Source organism: Homo sapiens, chromosome 1 (genome assembly GCF_000001405.40).
Source record: "Homo sapiens chromosome 1, GRCh38.p14 Primary Assembly".
In the NCBI taxonomy this organism is placed as follows: Eukaryota; Metazoa; Chordata; class Mammalia; order Primates; family Hominidae; genus Homo; species Homo sapiens.
The window spans coordinates 184,136,098-184,159,171 of NC_000001.11; the positions used below are offsets into that span (position 1 = coordinate 184,136,098).

At 42.6% G+C, this 23,074-nt stretch overlaps 1 long non-coding RNA gene across 1 annotated transcript, besides 1 other annotated feature; it reads right to left on the reverse strand.

Moving 5' to 3' along the window:
• Positions 1-14,256: 14,256 nt before the first annotated feature.
• On the reverse strand, positions 14,257-17,619 carry LOC124904466 (uncharacterized). Its single transcript, XR_007066765.1, has 2 exons — positions 16,944-17,619; positions 14,257-16,409 (listed from the first exon to the last, which is right to left on the reverse strand). It is a non-coding gene; the product is annotated as an uncharacterized LOC124904466 (long non-coding RNA).
• Positions 20,785-21,440: an enhancer, noted in NCBI's record as "NANOG hESC enhancer chr1:184126016-184126671 (GRCh37/hg19 assembly coordinates)". NCBI's record gives its function as "activates a minimal SCP1, AML or CMV promoter by ChIP-STARR-seq in naive H9 embryonic stem cells {active_cell/tissue: H9 hESC(naive)}" and the evidence as "EXISTENCE:reporter gene assay evidence [ECO:0000049][PMID:30033119]".

The following is a 23,074-nucleotide window of genomic DNA, read 5'->3' on the forward strand; positions in this document are numbered from 1 at the left end:
GTGCTGGGAGAACCACTACTCTCTTCAAAGCTGTCAGACAGGGACATTTAAGTCTGCAGAGGTTACTGCTGTCTTTTTGTTTGTCTGTGCCCTGCCCCCAGAGGTGGAGCCTACAGAGGCAGGCAGGCCTCCTTGAGCTGTGGTGGGCTCCACCCAGTTGGAGCTTCCAGGCTGCTTTGTTTACCTAATCAAGCCTGGGCAATGGGCAATGGCAGGCGCCCCTCCCCTAGCCTCACTGCTGCCTTGCAGTTTGATTTCAGACTGCTGTGCTAGCAATCAGCGAGACTCCCTGGGCATAGGACCTTCCGAGCCAGGTGCAGGATATAATCTCCTGGTGTGCCTTTTTTTAAGTCCGTTGGAAAAATGCAGTATTAGGGTGGGAGTGACCTGATTTTCCAGGTGCCGTCTGTCACCCCTTTCTTTGACTAGGAAAGGGAACTCCCTGTCCCCTTGCACTTCCCGAGTGAGGCAATGCCTCCCCCTGCTTCGGCTCACACCCGGTGTGCTGCACCCACTGTCCTGCACCCACTATCTGGCACTCCCTAGTGAGATGAACCCGGCACCTCGGGTGGAAATGCAGAAATCACCTGTCTTCTGTGTCTCTCAAGCTGGGAGCTGTAGACCAGAGCTGTTCCTATTCGGCCATCTTGGCTCCACCTCTATCTCATTGTTTTCTAGTTTTGTCTTTATTACTTCCTTTCTTCTGCTTGCTTTGGGTTTAGTTAGCTTCTCTATTTCTAGTTTCCTATAGTGGGTGTTTAGGTTATTGATTTAATATCTCTCTTCTGTCCTAATGTAGGCATGTATAACTCTATATTTCCTGAACTTTAATCACTGCTGTAGCTGTATCCTACAATTTTTCATATGTTGAGTGTTTTTGTTTAGCTCAAAAATTTAAAAATTTTCCTACCGTTTTATTTGACAAACAGTTTAGATAGAAGTGTTTTAATTTTTAAGTATTTTGTGATTCCTTAAACTTCCTTCTGTTTTTGTCTAATTTAATTGCATTGTTTTTGAAGAACATACTTTTGATTATTTCAAACCTTCAAAATTTACTGAAACTTGTTTTTATGGCCTAGCATATGGTCTATTCTGGAGAATGTTCTATGTATGCTTGAAAGAATGTCTATTCTGGTGTCCTTGAGTGGAATGTTTCATAAATATCAGTGAGGTCAAGTGGTAAGTTTAAGTCTTCTATATCCTTGCTGCTTTTCTGTCTAGTTGTTCTATCAATTATTGAGAGTGGAGTATAAAAATCTCCATCCACCATTTTTGAGCACTGTCATTTCTTGCTCGGGTTATTGAAATAGCTTGGCACTCCTTATCCACCATGCCTACTTTACTTTTTCCCATAGGATTTATCTTCACCTGACTTAGTATATATTTTATTTATATTCTAGAATATAAAGGTCCCATGCTGTCAGGCAGTTTTTATCACTGATGTATGCCTGGCACCAAGAACAGTACCTGACACATACTTGTCACTCAAAAATATAATATTTTTTTAATGTATGCATTCATCACCAAACAAATGGCACCTTCTAGTTTCTCGGGTGAGTGTGAGACTCCTCATCCCACTATCTGGAATAATCTGAAGTGGGTCAATACCAGTGGAATCCTGAGAAATTCAGGGCAAAGGGTGGGAGATATAAGGGGGTAACTACTGCTACTGCTTTTGGCCACAGGGAGAAACTTTCCCTTTCTCCTTGTGTTTTTTGTTTGAATTTATCTCTCCTTGAATTTTTATTTTATTTTATTTTATTTTTGTCTCAACCTCATGGGCTCAAGCTATCCTCCCATCTCAGCCTCTTGAGTAGCTGAGGCTACAGGCATGCACCACCTTGCCCAGCTAACCTTTTTCTTTTCCTTTTTTTTTCTTTTTTTAAATTTTTTTTTCTTTTTTTCCTTTTTCTTATTTTTTTTTTAAGAGATGGGGTCTAACTCTGTTGCCCAGTCTGGTCTTGAGCTCCTGGACCCAAGTGATCCTCCCACCTCAGCCTCCCAAAGTGCTGGGATTAGAGGCATGTGCCACCACACCTGGCCTCCTTGCTCTTTGCATTTTCTAGTTATCAAAGTGGTAGGCACTTCAAGACCAGAACTGGATATAGGTATCAAGGAAATATGCCACTGTGCTTGATTTTGATCCAGACTATTTGGCTGCCTTCTCCAGGCAAAGGCATCAGGTGACCCTGTACATCTTAGTAGGTATTAAATCACAAGTGGGGAAGGAAAAGATGGGTTAAAACTTCAGAACAATACACAAAAATGTTTTCCCCTGCATCTGTACTTTTTCCTCCTGAATCTGAGACAAGTTTCCATAGGTGACTGGTTCAGGATTAGGTGCTCAGGACCCCGGCCAAGTATTGTTCCATTTTAGCATGATTGACACTATCTGCTTAGATACATGTCTTGGTGTAGCTTTGAAATTTAATGCATATCCTGCTTTGGAGGGCTGTAATATACAACAACTTCAGAAAAAACCAGCATGCACTATTTATTATTGAGTGCTTGGCATATGATAGCAAGATACTTTTCATGTATCTGGCATATCAGTTACTTTACATAATCTATATGCTTAATCAATTAAAAATGAAAGAAAAGATTAACTGATATTTTTCTTTTACTTATGAAAATTAGGCCTAAGTTTTACAAACTTTTCTCATATGGTCTGTATAACCAACTGGAACTCAGGGAAGAGGTCTGGGCTGGAGAAAACAGTTTGGGCACCATGAATAAATCTATGGTCATTAAAGCTGGGAGATGGGTCACGCCTTCTACAGAATGAGAAGGGGAAAGCATCTGGATAAAACTTTGAGGAACAGTGATGTTTAATGAGTAGAAGATGATGAGCCTGAAAAGGCAGAGAAGGAGCACACAGAAAGGTAGGAGGAAAATGAGGAGAATATTGTATCCAGGAAGGTATGCATCATCTTTCTGAAAACTTGCAATTGTCCTTGCTTTGGGGGAGTCTCGCTACTGGTAAAGCACTTATCATTTAATAATAAATTCTCATTACGTGAATGATCCTGCAATTGTTCTTGACTCAAATAGTTCTCATGCAGAGATACTTATAACACTTGGTAACATGAAGACTTTTGTGTTAATAAGACTCTGTGCTGGGTGCAGTGGCTCACACCTGTAATTCCAGCACTTTGGGAGGCTGAGGTGGGGGAACACCTTAAGGCCAGAAGTTCAAGACCAGCATGGGCAACACAGCTAGACCCTGTCTCTATAAAATTAGCCAGGCATGGTGGTGTCTGCTTGTAGTCCCAGCTACCTGGGAGGCTGAGATGGGAGGATCGTTTGAGCACAGGAGTTTGAAGCTGCAGTGAGCTATGATCACACCACTGCACTACAGCCTAGGTGACGGAGCAAGACACTGTCTAAGAGAAAGAAAGAAAGAAAAGAAAAGAAAGAAAGAAAGAAAGAAAGAAAGAGAGAGAAAGGAAGGAAGGAAGGAAAAGAAAGATGCTGTATTTTCATCAAAATAATTTCACTCCAGAGCTGGGCATGGTGGCTCGCACCTATAATCCCAGCTACTCAGGAGGCTGAGGTAAGAGGATTGCTTGAGGCCAGGAGTTCAAGACCAGCCTGGGAAACATAGGACGACCTCATCTCTAAAAAAGTTTTTTAAAAATTAGCCAGACATGATGGTGTCTACCTGTAGTCCCAGCTACTCAGGAGGCTGAGGCAAGAGGATGGCTTGAGTCCAGGAGTTCAAGACTACAGTGAGCTATGATCATGCCACTGCCCTCCAGCCTGGGTGGCAGACTCAATCTCTTTAAAAAATTACTTTACCTCAATCCTTGTGCACCCTGCAAGTATGATATACTCTCTCAATGACTCCAGAATCCATCCGTGACCTTTTGGCATTCTAGCGGTAATTTGAATAACGTCAGTGAAACATGGCAATAGCACTGTACAAATAAATTGAATTTATTATTACGGCTCTCCCATGATGAAATTATTTATTTTTGTGTTTAATTTTTTCATTTTAAGAAAGAAAAGTCTTTCTGTTACCCAGGCTGGAGTGTAGTGGAATAATCATAGCTCACTGAAGCCCTCAACTCCTGGGCTCAAGTGATCCTCCCACCTCAACCTACTGAGTAGCTGCGACTACAGGTGCACGCTACCATGCCTGGCTCATTTAAACAATGTTTCTGTAGAGATGAGGTCTCACTTCGCCGCCCAGGCTGCGAACTCCTGGCCTCAAGCCATCCTCTAGCACTGGCTTCCCAAAGTGCTGGGATTACAAGCATGAGCCACCATGCCCAGCCAGTCTTCAATATTTGTGGCAGTAAATAACCAATGAATTTTTATTTTAATGCTTTAGTCTCAATAACAAATTTATTTGTAAGAGTGCTATTTTATATGATTTATACATTCACTCATTCATCCATCAAACATATATTAAGTACCTACTGTATGCCAGACATATAATGTTAAGATGCATGAGGCATGGTTCTCAAGTTTAGGTGTGCACTGAAATCATATGGCAAACTTGCTAAAAATACTTATGACCCCATCCCACTTTTTGTATTCAGTAGATCCAGGGTGGGTTTCAGAAATCTATTTATAGCAAGCTTTCCATGTGATTCTGATGCACAACAAGATCTTGGAACTATTGCTCTACATAAAAACATTTAGTGAAAAAATAAAATGTAATAAAGTATAAGAGGTGTCAGAAGTATACACAGGGTAGAGTATATATTACATTTTATAACATTTGTCTCTTACTATAGTAGTAGACTATGCACTCAACAATATTATTGCAATTTTTGACTGTAATAGAATATTTTATTAGGGTTTTGAAGCCCTAGCAGTATAATTTACTTTCATTATACTGCAGACATTTTTAATGTCCTTAAAAATGATCATAAAGGTAAGAGGATGCTATAAAAATTCAAATGTTATTATATCTATGCTTATAACTTACTTTAGTAAGACTGAGAAAAGCATCTGGTGGTTCCTACTTAAAACTCTGGAAAGCTTTACTGTGTCATTATAGGAGTAGTTGTCTTATAAATGAAAGTGTTCTTTTCTCTCTTTTTTCTTTGTCTGCAAGGCTCTTTTGCAGCCTGTTGATACAAAGCTTCAAACAGCATTCGAGGAATATTCATAGCAGTTTCCTACTAAGACTTCAGCAATGATGCAAAATGCAAAACTCTTGAGTCTTGCATTGTGGGAAACAAGCTTTCTTTTAAAAAATTATTGCTTTCTTCTTAAAAGGAGATACTCGTTCACCATGGCATTGACAAGGAAACTTAGGCTGTAAGAAACAGATCAACCAAAGTCCCATTGTAGGGAAGCTATGATATGCTTTGATTATAAGACTTTACAAGAAGAGATGTCTATAGATAGAAGCAACTATTTAGCAAGTCCAACTCAAAGACCGAGTGAAAACAGCAACGGAAATGTGAAAAAAGTTCTGGAATTTCTTCAAAATGTCTTTTCAAAATGTCACTTGCTTTCGAATTAACACTTCAGGAAGTGTATCGAAGAGTACTAGCTTATCCAAATTGCTGTTTCTCCTCTCCTTCTTGGGCACATACAGAAAGGAAACTTCCCAGCCTCCTTTGTGTCACTTGTGGTCATGTGACTAAGTGCTAGCCAATGGAATATGAGTAGAAGCGATGTCTGCCACTTCTAGATTTGACCTAAAAAATCTTCCCGCTGTGGTTCTCAATGTGCCTTCTCCATTTGCTACTGCATGATGACTCCCAGGCAACCTGGAAGCCACAGGTTGAAATGGCAGGGCCTCTGTCAGCCTGGGTCTTTGAATAACTGTATAGAGCAGAGACACCGCACCCCGTCTCCTCCCCATCCCAGTGCCAATAGACTTTGCTTGAGAGAGAAATAAACTTTTACTCTGTTGAGCGTCTGAAATGCTGGGGTGTTTTTTTTTGTAAAGCAGTTAGCTAACTTTAATACAAGATGTAAGAATCTAGGCAAATCTATACCATGAGACCATGCACTGACCTGTCATTTATGAAGCCAGAGCCCTGAACATAGTTCTGTAATTCTCCTGCAGAGGTTGCCTATACCACAATCCCCTACTGAAAAGCTGTCTAGAAAGGATTCCTCTGACTCCAGGAGCAGGACTCAGGCTGTCAAGAGTATTCTAGTTCTCCACGAATGGTTTAAAAGCCAAAGTTTGGCCGGGCATGGTGACTCACGCCTGCAATCCCAGCACTTTGGGAGGCTAAGGTGGGCAGATAACTTGAGGCCAGGAGTTTGAGACTAGCCTGACCAACATGTCGAAATCCCGTCTCTACTGAAAATACAAAAATTAGCTGGGTGTGGCGGCACATACCTGTAGCCCCAGCTACTCGGGAGGCTGAGGCACGAGAATCACTTGAACCCAGGAGGTGGAGGTTGCAGTGAGCCGAGATTGCACTACTGCACTCCAGTCTGGGGAACAAAGTGAGACTCTGTCTCAAAATAAATAAATAAATAAATAAAATAAAATAAAAGCCAACATTTCTCTTAGCCTTTAGGGCATGGTCCTAGCACTGTACAAAGCATAAAATAAACACTCAGAAATTCTAACTCAAGAATCTGGAGAGAACAAAATTGGATAGAAGGAAGCCAGAGGCATAGCTGCAAAGGAGCATGACATGTAACACGGACAGAGTCACAGCATAAGGCCACCTTCTAGGCCCTGCACTGTGTACTTGCCACAGACTGGCAGACTGTCATTAAGGTTTAAGAGAGAATTCTCTAGGTCTTTAAGATGTTTATCCAAATTATTCCTCTCAGCCTTAAAATCCTTCAGTCATTTTGGATACCTCTCTCTCTCCTTTCTTTGGATACCTCTCTCTCTCCTTTCTAGTCCATTAAGTAAAATAGCTCCTACCCATGCAATAGTTATTCTGATCAGGCACTGTGCATGGCTTTACATATGTTGTGTTATATAATCTTCACATTAAGTACATAATATTATTATCCCTATTCTGCAGATGAAAAAACTGAGGCACCAAAAAGTTAAGTAGCTTGACCAAGCTCATACAGCTAGTGAGGGGAAAACCCAGAGCTGAAATCTAAGCACTTGGACTCCCTGCCAAATCATCTGCCCTTAACCATTGTACTATACTGTTTCCAGCAGTAAAATTCAGCAGATTTTTGCTCATGTAAGAGACCTCTCAGGAGAGGGTTGATCCTTCAAAAGGGCCAATAGATAGAATCCAGTTCATTGGCCCTTCATATTTGCATCCTTTTTGTTTTTTATTTTGTCCCTCGTGGGATTTGGGAAGCTCTCAGCATGATGCTGGTGTTCACCCTTGGAGGTACCTCCCTTCTCTAAATCTTAGCAGTTCCCTAGCATGGTGAGATCCTGGGGCTGCTGCCACAATCCTCTGGAAAAGAAAAGCTTGAAGAGAAGCTTCTTGGCTCCAGTAGATTCTTAATGCTGAGGAGAAGAGCTGTTCTGTGGGGCCAATCTGTCACTGCATCTATATTTAGCGCCATCTGCCAGGAATATTTCAAACTGCCTATTTTAGCACATGCTGTTTCGTGCAAATGCGACTGCTCCACCACTAGTTCGTGGGAAACCAAGGGCACTAAGTGGATTTTCTGTTTTTTTATGTTAAGTGTTGCAAGTTGGCCCTTCAGTCAACCTTCAAATGAGATATGGGAGAGAAGGGAGGTGGAGTTTTCCCAGGGTGTTAGTCCCAGGAGCCCACACATTCAGCTGCTCAAAAGTAACCCAAGGATGGCAGCTGTAGAGGAGGCGGAGGTGGCTCTGGGGGTTCAGGGGGAAGGGCAAGGGAATATAAAAGCCCAGGACTCCTATCCAGCAGCCCCAAGGCAAAGTGATGGCCTTATCCACTTCAGTGTTCTCCACTCCAACTCCGAGATCATTGTCCAGACTCTTGCAGCCTTAACATACCCCCAGGAGAGCCTTCTTGACCCATCTCAGTGAAAAACAAGGGCTCCCATTTACTGAGGACTTTCCTTGTGCCAATTTTCAGTGCTTGCTTTGATATGCATATTTGTTTCTGGCATACAACCTCTTTATGGGGGAGGCTCTATTACTAGTTCTACTCACAGATAAGGCAATTGAGTCTTAGTGAGGGTCAGGAACTTGCCCAAGGGCACATTGCTTGTAAGTGGTGGAGTCAGAATTCAAACCCAGCCCCAGCTAAGACCAGGTCTTATGATCTTAAACACTGTGTACTGACCAATTCTATACATCCTCCCATCCAGTATCCCTGTTTTCTTCCCCCAGGTATAGGCACACACTATATTTTTTGCATATATTTCAATTTCCAACTTATTCTCCAGACTTGATGGTTAACTGCATTTGAAGAGCTCTGACCATAGGTTTGCTATCCAGCCCCCAGTCAGCAATGATGCTAACTCCCTAAGAAGCCCTCCTAGATTGGCCCCAGCAATAGCCCAGTGAGGGAGAGTGGCTTCTAGGTTTGCCCCAACTCTTGAGGAAGAACTGGTGGGTAGGAACAACCAAGCAGCCTTATGACAGGTTGTTATAGCTGCAGAGGTGAGTTTGACTGGAAAGGTACAGATTCTGGCTTTATAGATGGTAAGGACTGCCTGGAAAAGGAATTGCCACCAGGGACTGGCATGGGGCTGGGCTGAGAAGACTGACAGTGGAGTGGGGCTCAATAACACAGCTGTCCTGTATGACTTATTAATCTTAAGAGCGACTGACTCTAGGCAAATTCTAAATTGTGATCATAGGAAAATCTCAAAATATATACATATTTTTTATAGACACAATTCCCAAGGATAACCAATTTTCATTAAATCACCCTGGGATAAAGGCTAGAAGAGATGGCTCCATGTTTGCTATGGTTTGGGAAATTTGGAACTGAGTCCTTGGGCTGTCCAGGGACTGAAGAATATGAGTGGCATAGAATAGAGGCTAGATGTTAGATCTTTTAATAGCCAACTTCATATCCCATCTGTTTCAGTTATTTATTCCTGCATAACAAGCCACACTTAAACTTAGTGGTTTAAAACAAAAGCAATCACTGTATTATCATCTCTGGGGTTGAGGGGTTGACTGGCCTCAGCTAGGTGGTTCTCACTGGGGTTTCTCCTGAATTACAGTCAGATAATGCATGGGCTTGAAGCCATCTCAAAGACCTCCTCACATACATTAAAATAGGTGCTGGCTGTCAGCTGGGACCTCAGCTTGGCTGTCTGTCAGGACACCTACATACGGTCTCTCCATATGGCCTGGACTTCCCTGCAGCATGGGAGCTGCATTCCCAGAGGGAGAGACCTGAGAAAATGCGGCAAATGCTATATAGCCTTTTGTGATCTACCCTTAGAAGTTACATAGTGTCACAGCACAGTCACACCGTCACAGGTCAGCACCCACGCAAGAGGGCACACCGATATTCTTCTTAAGTGGAAAGGCATTAACATTAATTTGTAAGAAGGTCATGTGGTATGGGATATAAGATTGTGGTGATCATCTTTGAAAAATGCAATCTGCCATACCAATTACATAGGGCCAGGGGAAGAACCTGGATTTGGTGAACAAATTGGGGTGGCAAAGTAGCTGGCATTTGAATACAAGAGGGGTGGCCAGGCAGCAGAGGACCAAGACTCCACGCACATCCTTCATAGTTTCAACTAATGCTTACTGGGTACTTAACATTTGCCAGAAATTGGGGCTGTAATAGCAGTGAGCAAGAGACAAGGTGCCTGCCTTCATGCACGTTACAGTCTGGTGGGGAGACAGCAAACAATGGCTCAAATAAACACAGAAGCTCCATAAAGAAATATAACAGTTGGGTAAGGGGAGTGACACTATTAGGGAGAGGGGTTTCTATTTTAGATAAAGTGCTTAGGGAAGACCTTGCTGAAATGGGAACATTTAAGCAGAGACCTGAATGAGGTGAGGGAGCGAAACAAGCAAACCTCTGGAAGAAGGGCATTCCAGGCTGAGGGAAGAGCAGGAACAGTCTCAGGGATAAGCTTGGCATGTTCAAAAAATAACAAGAAGCCCAGTGTGGCAAGTGAGGAAGGACTGAGTGGAAGAAGGATAGGAAATGACGACGAGAAGTTACCAAGAGTAGTTAATGCTTAACTGGGGGCAAAATCCATTTCAAAACATTGCTTCTGTTGATATTTGTTTTCCTGGTCTTAGGATGGAAGAACAACTCCTCCTCTTCCAAATGTAAATGACTATGTTTCCATTTGGGGCAGAGCTGACTGAATACAGATTTCAGAAGGCATCTCTGACACGCATGTAGAGGCATCTGGCCACCTTGGGGTACCTTCCCACCATGTACCACAGTCAATCTGGTCTTTGTCAGGGCATCTTTCTCTTCAGAAAGTAACTATGACAACGGAGTTGGATGCTGCGAGTCTGCGGCAGCCCTCTATTTGCACACAACATGTGATGCTATCAGAACACAGAATTATGAATCAGTGCAGTGTCAGCTTTTCTCTTTGTAGTGAACAAGTTATCTGCTCTTTGATTCAATTAATGTTTTATTATTGGTTTTGTTTTTATTATGACTGTTCCATAACAAGATGATCAATATGTTCTATAGCGTCGTTTCCCAGACACATCTGAGCAGAGCCCCGTATCAGTTTTCTATTGCTGCTGCAACAAATTACTGCAAACATAACAGCTAAATTACACAAATTTATCTTACAGTTCTGGAGGTCAGAAGTTTGATACGGGTCTCACTAGGCTAAAATCAAGGTATTCACAGGGCTGTGTTCCTTTCTTGAGGCTCAAAGAGAAGGATCGGCTTCCTTTGTAGTTCAGGTTGTTGGGAGAATTCAGTTCCTTGCCATTACAGGACTGAGGGCTCCATTCCCTGCTGGCTGTCAGCTGAGGGCCCTCTCCAGCTTCTGGAGGCTGCCCACATTCCTTGGCTCACAGCCCCTTCCTCCATCAGCAAAGCTAGCAATAGCGGGTCAAATCCCTCTCATATTTTGAATCTCTCCTCCTTCTGTCTTATCTCCCTCTGACCACAACCAGGAAAGATTTTCAGCTTTTAAGGACTTATGTGTTTAGATTGGGCCCACCTGGATAATCCAGGATACTCTCCCCTTCTCAAAGGTTCCTAACCTGAGTCACCTCGGCAAAGTCGCTTTTACCATGTAAGTGAACATTGTCATGGGTTTCAGAGATTACATGTGGACTTTGGTGGCAGGTGAATTATTCTGTCTACAGCAACCCTTATTTCCTGACTACATTAAACTACAGTTTAATGGAATACAGTTTGGGAAGCACTGCCCGAGAGGTATCAATTCTAGACAGGTAAGAAACTAATTCTTTATGGGTAATGACCCAAGCATGGGTGAGCACAGGGCCAGGTGGAGGATGGATTCCTCCATGTGGTTCGGGAGTGGGGTGCAGGAAATAAGGATAAAGCATAATGGAGTTCAGTGACAGATTTCACCTTCTTGCCAAGCCACAAGTATAAATCAGGTAGATTTCCTAATTGGGCTTGTCTGTCAAGAACTTCTAATTGTAGTGCCTGAAGGGAAAGGGGTGGACAACTATGGCACTAGGTGATTTTCACAGTCATCTCATATAAGGGTCATGCTAACTTGTGAAGGCAAACCCTGCACTTGAACCTCAGTGTGGTGGGTTCATTTGGTGTCCCACTCAGATCCCCTTTATCAGGCTGGTGTGCTCATCCTACAGGGTGGTAAGCTGACAGCTCACAGATTCTCCCTTCTCTGGAAATTATCCTTAAAGCCCTTGGGAGCTGCCTTAGCTAGGAAGTTATCCCCCCAATCACCCCTTACCTCCAACATACACACATACATACATACACACTCCACAGAAAGTCTGTGACATCATTTATGCTCCAAAGTCCTCTGGGGATCACATTTGAGAACACATTCTTGTTTCACTCTTCCCCCTTCAATTTCCTGCTTCCCCTCCTCCATTACAAGTTTTTCTTGACTAAATCAATACATCTCGTGTCCTCAAAACCCTGCCTCAGGTTCTGCTTCCAAAGAACCAACGTAACTTGCCACGGCTCCCTAATTCCAAAGACCTTGCTCTTTGTAGCTACCTAGCCTAGAATCAGACAAGCACTAAGAAAAAGACTGGAGAAAATATCCCTGACACACCTGGGACATGCTGTCTTCTAGATATGTCACTGAATAAATCAAAGGAAGTTTGTTTATTTGCAAAAGTTGGGTGGGAGTTCGGTGTATGATTCTAAAGACTTAGGTTGTGGAAAAGAACAGGAAGTGAGAGTTGAGAGTTAAAGTTGAATACAATGGTCCACTCCACTATAAGCTCCTTGGGGACAGGAGCCATGTCCATGTTGTTCTCTACTGCATCCCTGTGCTTAGCACAACAGCTGGCACGTGGTACCTCTGCAACTTGTGGAATAAGTAGGTGAAAAAAGTAGAGAAAAGCAATAGGGGGTCAGGTTTCTGTGAGTCAGGAGGTTCAACTGGGAGAAAGCTGGGGAAACAGAGTCTGTTCTCGATAGTACAGGCTGCTTTGCACTCTTCCAAGATCTTCTGTGATAGCCTCACTTCTGGAATGTTTCCAGGAATCGGCTCATGTAGGCCCTCCTCTGGAAAATGGCAGCATTTCTAATAAGCCTTTCTCCTTCTACACACGGGAAAGAATCCAGCAGCCTTGTCCTAAACCAAGAACATATCTTGCCTGTTAGAGGTCTAGTGGATCCCTAGATTAGACTTACATTATTTTTATTTATTAACAGGTTATTTAAATTTGTACAGTATAAAACCAGGTATTAGCTCATTTTACTTTAGTGTTTATATACAACTAACATATTTATGTTTTAAATACCAAAAAGTCACAAAACCGGTAAAATTGTAATTAATAACATTCATGAAAGGTGACCTAATATTGTTTTTGTAAAATGAAATCTCTACCACATGTAGTGTGGTACTGACTCTCCAAGCCCATGCGCTTTTGAAATTAGCCCGTTCATATTACCGTGTACCTGATGCAAACATCTTCTCTGATCTCTCAATTTCTCTCTATTCAAACGACTTCTAAACCTTCCTTTGTATAAAATGGACCCTGCTGTGCAAACGCATTTTTGTGTTAAGTCCACCTTTTTCATTCCTCACTAGCTTTGAAAATAAATAGCTTTACTTAGCATTAATTTATTACACATTGTGTTATACATGTAAATACATAGAGGCTTAAATCATGCAGTGCCTGGATTATAAATTGGACATTCAGATAACTTAGAATATGTAAACTTGTAAGTACATATATGTTATATTTATATGTATGGATATACAGTTGACCCTTGAACAACTTGGGTGTTACGGGCACCAACCCACATGCAGTGGAAAATCTGCCTATAACTTTTGATTCCCCCAGATCTTAACGACTAATAGACTACTGTTGACCAAAAGCCTTACTGATAACATAAACAGCCAATAAACACATATTTTGTAAGTTGTATATATTATATACTGTATTCTTACAATAAAGTAAGCTAGAGAAAAGAAGATGTTTATAAGAAAATCATAAAGAAGAGAAAATATATTTACTATTCATTGAGTAGAAGTGGATCATCATAAAGGTCTTCATCCTTGTCATCTTCTAACTGAGTAGGCTGAGGAAGAGAAGGAAAGGAGGGGTTGGTCTTGCTGTCTGAGGGGTGGTCGAGGCAGAAGAAAATATATATATAAATAAATCTGCACAGTTCAAATCCATGTGGTTCAAGGGTCAACTGTGTATGCATCTATGTAGATGAGATAATCATCAAAGTCTAGTTTTAAAATGAAAAATTACATCATTCTTTTAGAAAACTCCTGGAACCTTGAGGAACACTGCTTTAGGCATACCCTGGTCTAGAATGCCACCTGTCTATACAGTTCTCCCTCAGTATCTGAAGTGGATCAGCTCCAGGACCCCCACAGATGCCAAATTCCACAGATGCTCAAGTCCCTTACATAAAATGGCATAGTATTTGCATATAACCTACACATATCTTCTTGTATACTTCAAATAATCTCTAGATTACTTATAATCCCTAATAGAATGTAAATGCTATGCAAATAGTTGTTATACTGCATTATTTTTAGTTGTACCTTTTTCTATTGTTGTATTGCTATTTAAATGTTTTCAAATATTTTCCAATTTTCCAAGATTGGCTGAATCTGCACATGTGGAAACAGCACAGGCAAAGGCTGACAGTATGCAGCTTTATTTCTCTTTCTGTCATGCCCATGCATTCAGTCAAAAATTAAAATTATTTCTCTTTACCTCTCCACTTGCATATTCAACCATTATACATAGTTGTTCATCTATTTTAGAACAACCAGCCACATTTATTGCATGCCTATCATACCTACATCTTGATTTCACAAGAACACTGCAAAATAGTATTATTAATATTAATATGTTATGGTTTACATTTTAAAAATGAGAAATCTGGAGATCAGCGTGTTCAGGGGACTTGCCCAAGAACACGCTCATGTCAAAGGCTGGGCTTTGACTCAATTCTGTCTGATCTTAGATCCCATAATTGTGCCCTTTGCTATAGCCCCAAGGTACTGAAAGGTGCATCGCACATAGTGGGTGCTCAATAAACATTTTTTGAATGAATATGAGAACAATGAACTGTTTCCATTCCATCAGTCTGCCTGTACTCCCAGCCTGTTGGCACTGTTTCCTCTCTAGGCATGCAAAGCCTAGGGGAGTACAAACTAAGGTTTGACTCACCCTGGTATCCCACAGCATGCCTGGCCACATAGTAGGTTCTCAAATACTCATTAATTTGAATTGACTTGAACTCCTCCCAAGACCCCGCTTGGAAACTTTTTTGAAGGTTAATTTAGAATGAGAAAAGAGAACTTGAGGAAGAGAGTGTGCTAGTGATGATACAAGCCCCCAGCTAGCCTTGGTAACTGGAATGGGAAGCATTGGCCACCTCCTCCTGAGACTGGGCTCCAAGCCCTGCTTGGTAATGCAGGCAAAAGCATGTGATTCAGACAGCAGCAAAGCCACAGAACGGCACGCCAAGTTCAAAGTCATTGAAGCAAGTAGTGTAAGTGACAAAATTTAAAAGACAGAGACCTCTGTAGAAGAAGCCAGGGTACCCAGAATTGACAGCATTGAAAGCTGGGCTTAGGTGGAAATGACAAGAATCTCTGCCCTACCCCTAGCAGGAGGTCCTCGGTGAGTAGCTTATAAAATGCCCTTCTAAGTCCCTAAAGGAGCCCACTGCTGGATCAGCCAAGGCTGGGAAGGTCCTCGTGATCATGATTGAGGTTCTCACAGTCTTCCTGCCAAGGCTGCTCTTCGGGGCAGACAAAATGTACCGGGAGCTCCGCGGGTCATTTGTGTTTACATTTTTTCCCTCTTTACTGCTCTTGATGTTCACTCTTCCAAAATTATCAAGCTCTCACTCTAGCCTAGTTCAACAGAAACATTTCTCTACTTCCAGACTGTTTAGAGCTTCCTCTCCAGCCAGCAAAAGGCCCAGCCCATTACTGGTGCACAGGGGCACTGACCAGCAGCAGCTTGGCTTGTCCTGTTTGACGGGGCTTGGCCTCATTGCCCTTCTGAAGGAGGCCCAAATGCCCATGTCTATTCCATCCCCAGATGCCAGCGAAATTGCAAGGTGTTTTCAGTGACAGGGCACCTTGCAAAAGTGGGAGCATCTTTGCATACATCACCTGAAATGGGGTCAAGGAAGAAAAGATTCATGCAAGACCCATCAGGGACAGACACTGGTACCCAGTGGATATCAGCTCATAGCAATTCTGTGTGCACTTTGCAGATCAGGAAACTGAGGTTCTCCTGAGACACAGAGTTGAAAATCAGGGGGTCAGTTCCCCAAGGTCCCAGCTTCCTCATCCTTTACACTCAAATACATTGCAAGGGCATCTCTCTCACTGACCCCACCTCTCAGAAGGGAATTTGTTCTCTCCTTTTTCCTCCTCCCTCAACCACTGATTCAGGAAGAAACTAATAAACTCATGATTTGTAAAGTTTTGTTCCTCAGCTCTTCTCAGATACGCTTCAGTTGAAAACACAGTGTTCATTCATTCCAGATTTCCCAAGACACTTCCAATTTCATGCAATGTTATAATTGTAATAAATTCATTTACTTCAATTTGTGACGAAGTATAATTTCATTTCATATCATTTTAAGGTATTGCATGTACACAAATTCAGAAACTGGAAAGAATATGTTTTGTTAAATGCCATGCCCTGATTTTTGAATTGGAAAATATAAAATGTGTTCCATCTCTGCTGTGCATGCACATAGCATAACATGATCACAGGAAATTCTTCACCTTAGTTCTTCTTTGGTCTGGCTTTTTTTTTTTTTTTTTTTTGAGAGGAGGTTCTCTGTTCCAGGCATAGGGAGAACTGTTGTATATCCCTCATTGCAGGCACAGCCCCGGAATCTTCCAGCCCTTTCGCCAAACAGATTCTTCACCATGTGGTCTCAGTTTCCCTGCCCGAAAAAGTCAAGATATGTTTCTCAATCTTGTAGCAACAGCTGCTCCCACCCCAAGGATTCCCCTACTCAAACCCGAGTGAAGAATGAAGCTGGTTTCTGTTTTAGGAACCAAACAAAGTCCTGCCCCTCCTCAGGGGCCCCCCTTTGGACTGGCTCCCTTCCCTCTGTTTGGATAGCCCACTCTTTCCAAACCACTGAGTCATTTCCTCTCCGGGACTTTCTCATTAAAATCTTCCTGTTTGCTATAGTTCTGGAGCCCCTCTCTGAGTTACCGTTTCCTTCCTCATCCCCACTGAGCTGATTAATTAATAGCCCAGCACCGCCCTGCAATCTCTCCCACTGCGGCGTTCCTTCCCACTCTCATGTCGGCTGGAATCTCTACACTTCGTACACATTTGTACAAAGCCTCGGAGTTCCTAAAGCTGTGAGGGGAATGGAGGATACCACTCCTCTCCGGCAAGGTATTGCTTGAAAGATAAATTGGGAAGATGAGTGCCTAGAAACGGGCAGCAGAGAAAAAAAACCTACCAACAGCTTGTCCCAGAGCCGCCAGGCACAGCAAGTGCAGCAGTTGGGATACAGGCTCTAATTAATGCGCTAGGAGCTGCTCGACCCTGAGCAGCCCCTTCCTCTCCCAGAAGACAGCTGCGGTCTCCTCGAAGCCCCGGTTTGGAGGGTTGTGTGCACATCTGAGACCTGCTGACCCTGACAACAGGCAACAGATTGCAGCACCAAGGCAGAACTCCATGGGACAGAAAGACAGAAGACACCGGGGCTCTTTCGTTCAGTGACGGCGTGAAGAGGACTGTCACAGTCAACATGGCACCTTCATTCTTCTATTGGGCTTTTTTTTTTTTTTGGCGGGGTCGGGGAGGCAGTTCTCTGTTCCCGGCACACAGAGAACTGTTGTATCTTTCTCATTGCAGGCACAGCTCCAGAATATTCCAGCCCCTTCTCTAAATAGATTCTTGATCAAATGAAACATCCTGGGCTGAACTGAGGGCAGTGCCATTTTTGCCCAGTGGGTATTTGGTAAATGTTCATGGAAGCAAGTCAAACTGAAGTTCAAAAAGTACATGATTTGCATTCGTTGAAGTACAAAAAAAGGTACATAACAATAGAGATGGACTGCAAACTCATCCACTGACTCAACACCTTCCATTATCTATTCATGTTATCCCATTGCTTCTCATTGTGAAAAGCCCCCGGGAGATAGTTTGGGGGTGACGGGTCATTGGCTGTCCCTTAAATCCCATCATGTTGGCAATCCCCTTCCCCAGTAACGTATGAGGTTCACATGATCTCAGAGCTGCACGTATGGCTCTACAGTAATCCCCATAGCAGCACATTCCACTTGGAAAAGTTGCTTTCAAAGTGTACTTATAATTGCTAATCATCACTGTAGTCTGGCAGCTTCCATGGAAGCGTGACTGGCATGTTCTGGGGCTGGCCCCTTGCCCTCTGATTCACAGGACACCTGTCTCAGTCCTCCCCAAACCCCATCCTGCTTCCTCTGCTCTCCACCTCATTCCCACCTCTGCACAAGCCTGGATCCTGTGGCACAAGTGATCCTTCCTTCTCCTCCTAGATTTCCAAATCTCTCCATTCCCTGGGACTTACTGCAAATTGCTAAACTCTTCTCCATTTCCAAATAACTTGTTCCTCCTCGTGCTTCCCAGGGTCCTCCTTTTCATTTCCTCCCAGGGGGTACCACTCATAGCATATCCTGGTAGTGATCCAGGGGTTTTCATTCACAAAGAATACAACCTGAATGGCGACGGCTCTCCTTGTGAAAAGATGGGCACACCTGCCCCCTCCACAACAACCTGTGTCTCTCCTTCCCTCCATTACCAACTTCTTACAAGAGCAGCCTGTAGTTCCTCACCCCTCCCTGGGTAAAAGTCTTCATGCATTTCCCACTGTGAGGTCAGAGGCCTAGTGTTAATTAACCCTCATCCTGCCTACCTGTCTGCAGCGTTTGGGACCTGATCATTCCTGTTTCTGGGAACACTCTCCTCCTCTGGCTTTCCTGCTTCTTCTGTTCCCTCATGGCTCCTCCTCAGTCTCTGACCAGCTCTCCTTCCAGTCTTCTCTCTGAAATCTTGATGTTGCTAAAAGCTGTTTCCTCAGCCACCTTCTTGTTTTTCACATGCTCTTCCCTGGGCAACGTCATTTACTCCCTTGGCTTTGATTAAACTTACACACTTAAACTGATAACCTTTCTGCTTACTAAATTAAAAACCTCTTATAATTACAAAGCAGCCCATGTATAGATAAACAAAAATAAGAAAATAAAAATACACTATTCCCACCATCCAGAGCATACCACTGTTAATATCCTATTGTACATCCTTCCAAAATTTTTAGGCATGCATATATATGCAGACATATCTTTTTTTTACAAACTGAGAAAAATACCGTTTTATGAATTGTTACATACTGTTTTTATAAAACTTTCCATGTCAATATATGTCACTATATTTTACCTAATATCCAGTCTATATCTGATGATCTAAATCATTCCCGAAACGTCTTTTGTAGTTCGTTTGTCCAATCAGGAACCAATTCAGGCCTACACATTGCATGGATATTTCTTAAGCCCTTTTCCAAGCATAAACATGACATTAGGCTTGTTAAATGAATTTGGCCATTTAGCCTAAGGAACAACCCATTTTCTGGATTTGACAAGCTGCTTTCTTGTGGGTTCATTTAGCTTGTTTCTCTGACCTTCTTATTTCTTATAAACTGAAAGTCAAATGTGGCCAGGCGTGGTGGCTCTTGCCTGTAATCCCAGCACTTTAGGGAGCTGAGGCAGGAGGATCACTTGAGCCCAGGAGATCGAGACCAGCCTGGTCAATATAGTGAGACCTCATCTCTTAAACAACAAAACAAAAGAGAAAGTAAAAGGCAAAAGCATGGTGGATTCAATTTAAACCTTGTTAGCTAGATTATATCATAGGAGATATGTACTTCTTATTGTATTTTGTCATGATATATATATTTTCTGGTTCGCCCACTGTTAGAGATTCTAGTAGTGACCAGTGAATTAAGGCAAACAACAATTTTCTTCTTCCAAGAAACATTATGTTTTCCCTCCTGTGACTACAAGGTAATCTGTGTGGTGTTATCTGGGCAATGCACAAATGTTCAGTTCCCCCTCAACAATGTGCTAATGCTTTAATACCAGTTTATACTTGTTGCTGAAGTCAATACTTTTAATAAGGCATTTGTAACCACCCACTGGGTTCATTTTTCATGGTGCCCAGATAGAGCCAATTTATCAAGATAGGGGAATTGCAATAGAAAAAGAGTTAAATACACTTCAAGCTTGCTAAATGGAAGACTGCAGTTTTATTATTACTCAAATCAGCCAGCCCAAAAATTCAGAGGCTAGAGGTTTTTAAAGATATTTTGGTGAACAAGGGGCTAGGGAATGGGGAATGCTGGTTGGTTGGGTTGAGGATGAAATTATAGGGAGTTGAAGCTGTCTTCTTGCACTGAGTCAATTCCTGGGTAGAGGCCACAGGACCAGATCTGCCAGTTTACCAGTCTGGGTGGTGCCAGCTTATCCATCAGAATTCAGGGTCTGAAAAATATCTCAAGCACCAATCTTAGGTTCTACAATATTATCTATAGGATACAACATTATCTATAGGAGAGCAACTGGGGAGGTTAGGAATCTTGTGGCCTCTGGCTGCATGGCTTCTAAACCATAATTTCTAATCTTGTGATTAATTTGTTAGTCCCACAAAGGCTGTCTTGTCCCCAGGCAAGAAGGAGGTTTGTTTTGGGAAAGGGCTGTTGTCATCTTTTTAGTTTTAATAGTTCTAAACTATAAACTAAATGCCTCCCAAAGTTAGTTTTGCCTATGCCCAGGAATGAACAAGGGCAGCTTGAAGGTTAAAGGCAAGATGGAGTTGGTTAGGTCCCTTTCAATGTCATCAATTTCTCACTGTTAGAATTTTTCCAAAGGTGGTTTCAGTTTAGAGCAATTTTCAGCCAGAGTTTCTGGTTTAAGAATATTTTTATAAAAGAGCTATTTACTCAGGTATGGGCAGGGCTAAGGCAACCATCTAGGGATCATGAAGTTCCCAGGGGCTAGTGTCAGTGGGCGGCTATCGCCAGCCCTCATCTGAGGGGGCAGGAGAAAGGAATGTTCCTCCTGGTGCCTGGGGCTAGCTACAACCCTGGGACAGGAGCTGCCCAACAGAAGCTGTGGCTGTTAACAGAGGAATTCAGTTATAACCCAAATCATGACCAGGCAGGGCACTTTAATGAAGTAAAACTTTTCTGATGACTGTTTTCTGTTTCTTGCGTGAAAGACAATTGCAGGACAGGGGAGATTATACATCAGGTATTGGAGACAACTACAATATGCCCTTTTAATGTCTGTCTGTGGACCAAGTTTACTGTTTGCATTTGTAGCCATGGGAAAGAACAGGGGAAACAAGGTGGACACAACTCTCAGGGGAAAATTGGCCCCTGGTTGCCAAAGCACAGGTGGGGGTAGTGTGATGTGATGACGTTTGCAATGGATAATTTGTATTAGTTAACAGCTCTGGGTCAAAGCTGTTTTGTCTCCATGCAAGAAGTAATGAAAAAAAAAACAATGTTAGTTCCAAGGAAACATATCCTCATCCGTGAATAATTATTTGCTTTGACTCCAGGACACCTTTCATTTAAAGGTGTAAAGGCACAGAGAGGGGGAAGTGAATAATCACTAACTAACCTTTTATCACCATAGGAGAGGACATGCTCCTGGTGCTAACTATTATGAAACTTCAAAGGGAGTGATTGTCAGGTGCCCATAGTTCAGATTATTTTCCTCAGCATGGGAATAAAACACTGCTGCTTCTCACTCACTACAGGTAAAATAAATAGAACTGATAATGTGTATTATATAATTCTACCAAGCCTTGGAGCCAGAAAACACATTGGTTTCCTCTGTCTCTGGGGAAGGGTTTCTTATTACATTTTCTTCTAGTTGACAAGCAATTTGGGAGTATCCCTCAATTACATGGGATGCCCCAGTGTGGGACTGAGAAGAAGATTAGATTGTAGGCTGCTCTATTACTTACTAACTGGGTGGTCTTGAGTATGTTATTTAATCTTCCCAAACCACTGTTTACATCCATAAAACAGTGATAATCTTCATTCCCCTGGCTACAGGAGAACGAGCTTTGATGAGGCAAAGTGGATAAGAATGGGTTCTGGAGTCAGAAAGAGTTCAAAATCTAGGTTATGCTTCTTACCGATTGAGTGAAATGGGGCAAAGTCACCTAACCTCTAAGCCTTAGTTTCTCCATCTGTAAAATAAAGTAATAGAAATAGAAACAAAACAGAAACACAAGATAGAAACAATGTTGTATTATTTTAAAGATTAAATGCTAAAAAACACTTAACACAGTGCTGGCAATAAATAAGCACTCAATAGTTTGCTATTATTATCAGCTGCCCTGTGGTAGACAGAATTCTAAAACAGCCCCTATATTCCTACTCGTGATGCACATGCCCTGTATAGTTCTATTCAGTGTGAATGGAACCTGTGAATATAATGACATATTACTCTTGTGAGGAAAATTATCTTGGGTTGACTTGACCTTTCAGGTGAGTCTTTCTTCTTCTTCTTTTTTTTTTTTTTTTTTTGAGACGGAATCTCACTCTGTTTCCCAGGCTGGAGTACAGTGGTCTGCAACCTCTGCCTCTCGGGTTCAAGTGATTCTCCTGCCTCAGCCTCCTGAGTAGCTGGGATTACAGGCACCTGCCACCATGCCCGGCTAATTTTTGTATTCTTTGTAGAGATGAGGTTTCACCATGTTGGTCAGGCTGGTCTGGAACTCCTGACCTCAGATGATCCACCTGCCTCAGCCTCCCAAAGTGCTGGGATTACGGCGTAAGCCACTGCGTCCAGCCTCAGGTGAGTCTTTTAAAAGCAGAGAGCTTTCTTCACTTGGTGCTGGGAAGAAGTCAGAGAGGTGCACTCTCACTAGCCTGGAGAAAATCAAACATCCCTGCCATGGCAGCCTATGGGGACTACGTGGCATGGAATGTCAGTGGTCTCTGTGAGCCGAGCATAGTCCCCAGCAGGCAGCTAGCAGGCAAAGGGGAACTCATTCCTACAACCCCAAATAATTGAATTTTGCCAATAACCTGAATGAGCTTGGTAGAGGACCTCCAGTCTCAGATAAGAACTACAGCATAGCTGATATCTTGATTGCAGCCTTGTGAGACCCTGAGCGGAGGAGTCAGCTAACCTGTGCTCAGACTCCTGATCCACGGAACTGGAAGGTAATAAATGTCTTGTTTTAATTCACTGTAGGTGGTAATTTGTTTGAAGCAATAGAAGACTAATACACTATTCAGAGTTAATCAACATTGTTTCTGTGGCTCTTGCTGGGTCCATTTCTGTTCCTAATTGCTGTTGTCTAATGCAATACTTGGTTGCATAAATCATGACAGTGCAAGAATGACAAGAGGTGCTGTTCTCCAACACAACCCCTTTAGATTGTCAATACTCTGTCCGACTGTCTTCTCCTGCTAATGGGCTGGTGATGATCATGGGGGAGGAGAGGTTTATAGACCTTTGTGGCTTCAGAAAGGAATAAAAATATCGTCGGGGCTGAGTCTTTCCTGGAAGATGCAACTCGTTATGCAAAAGC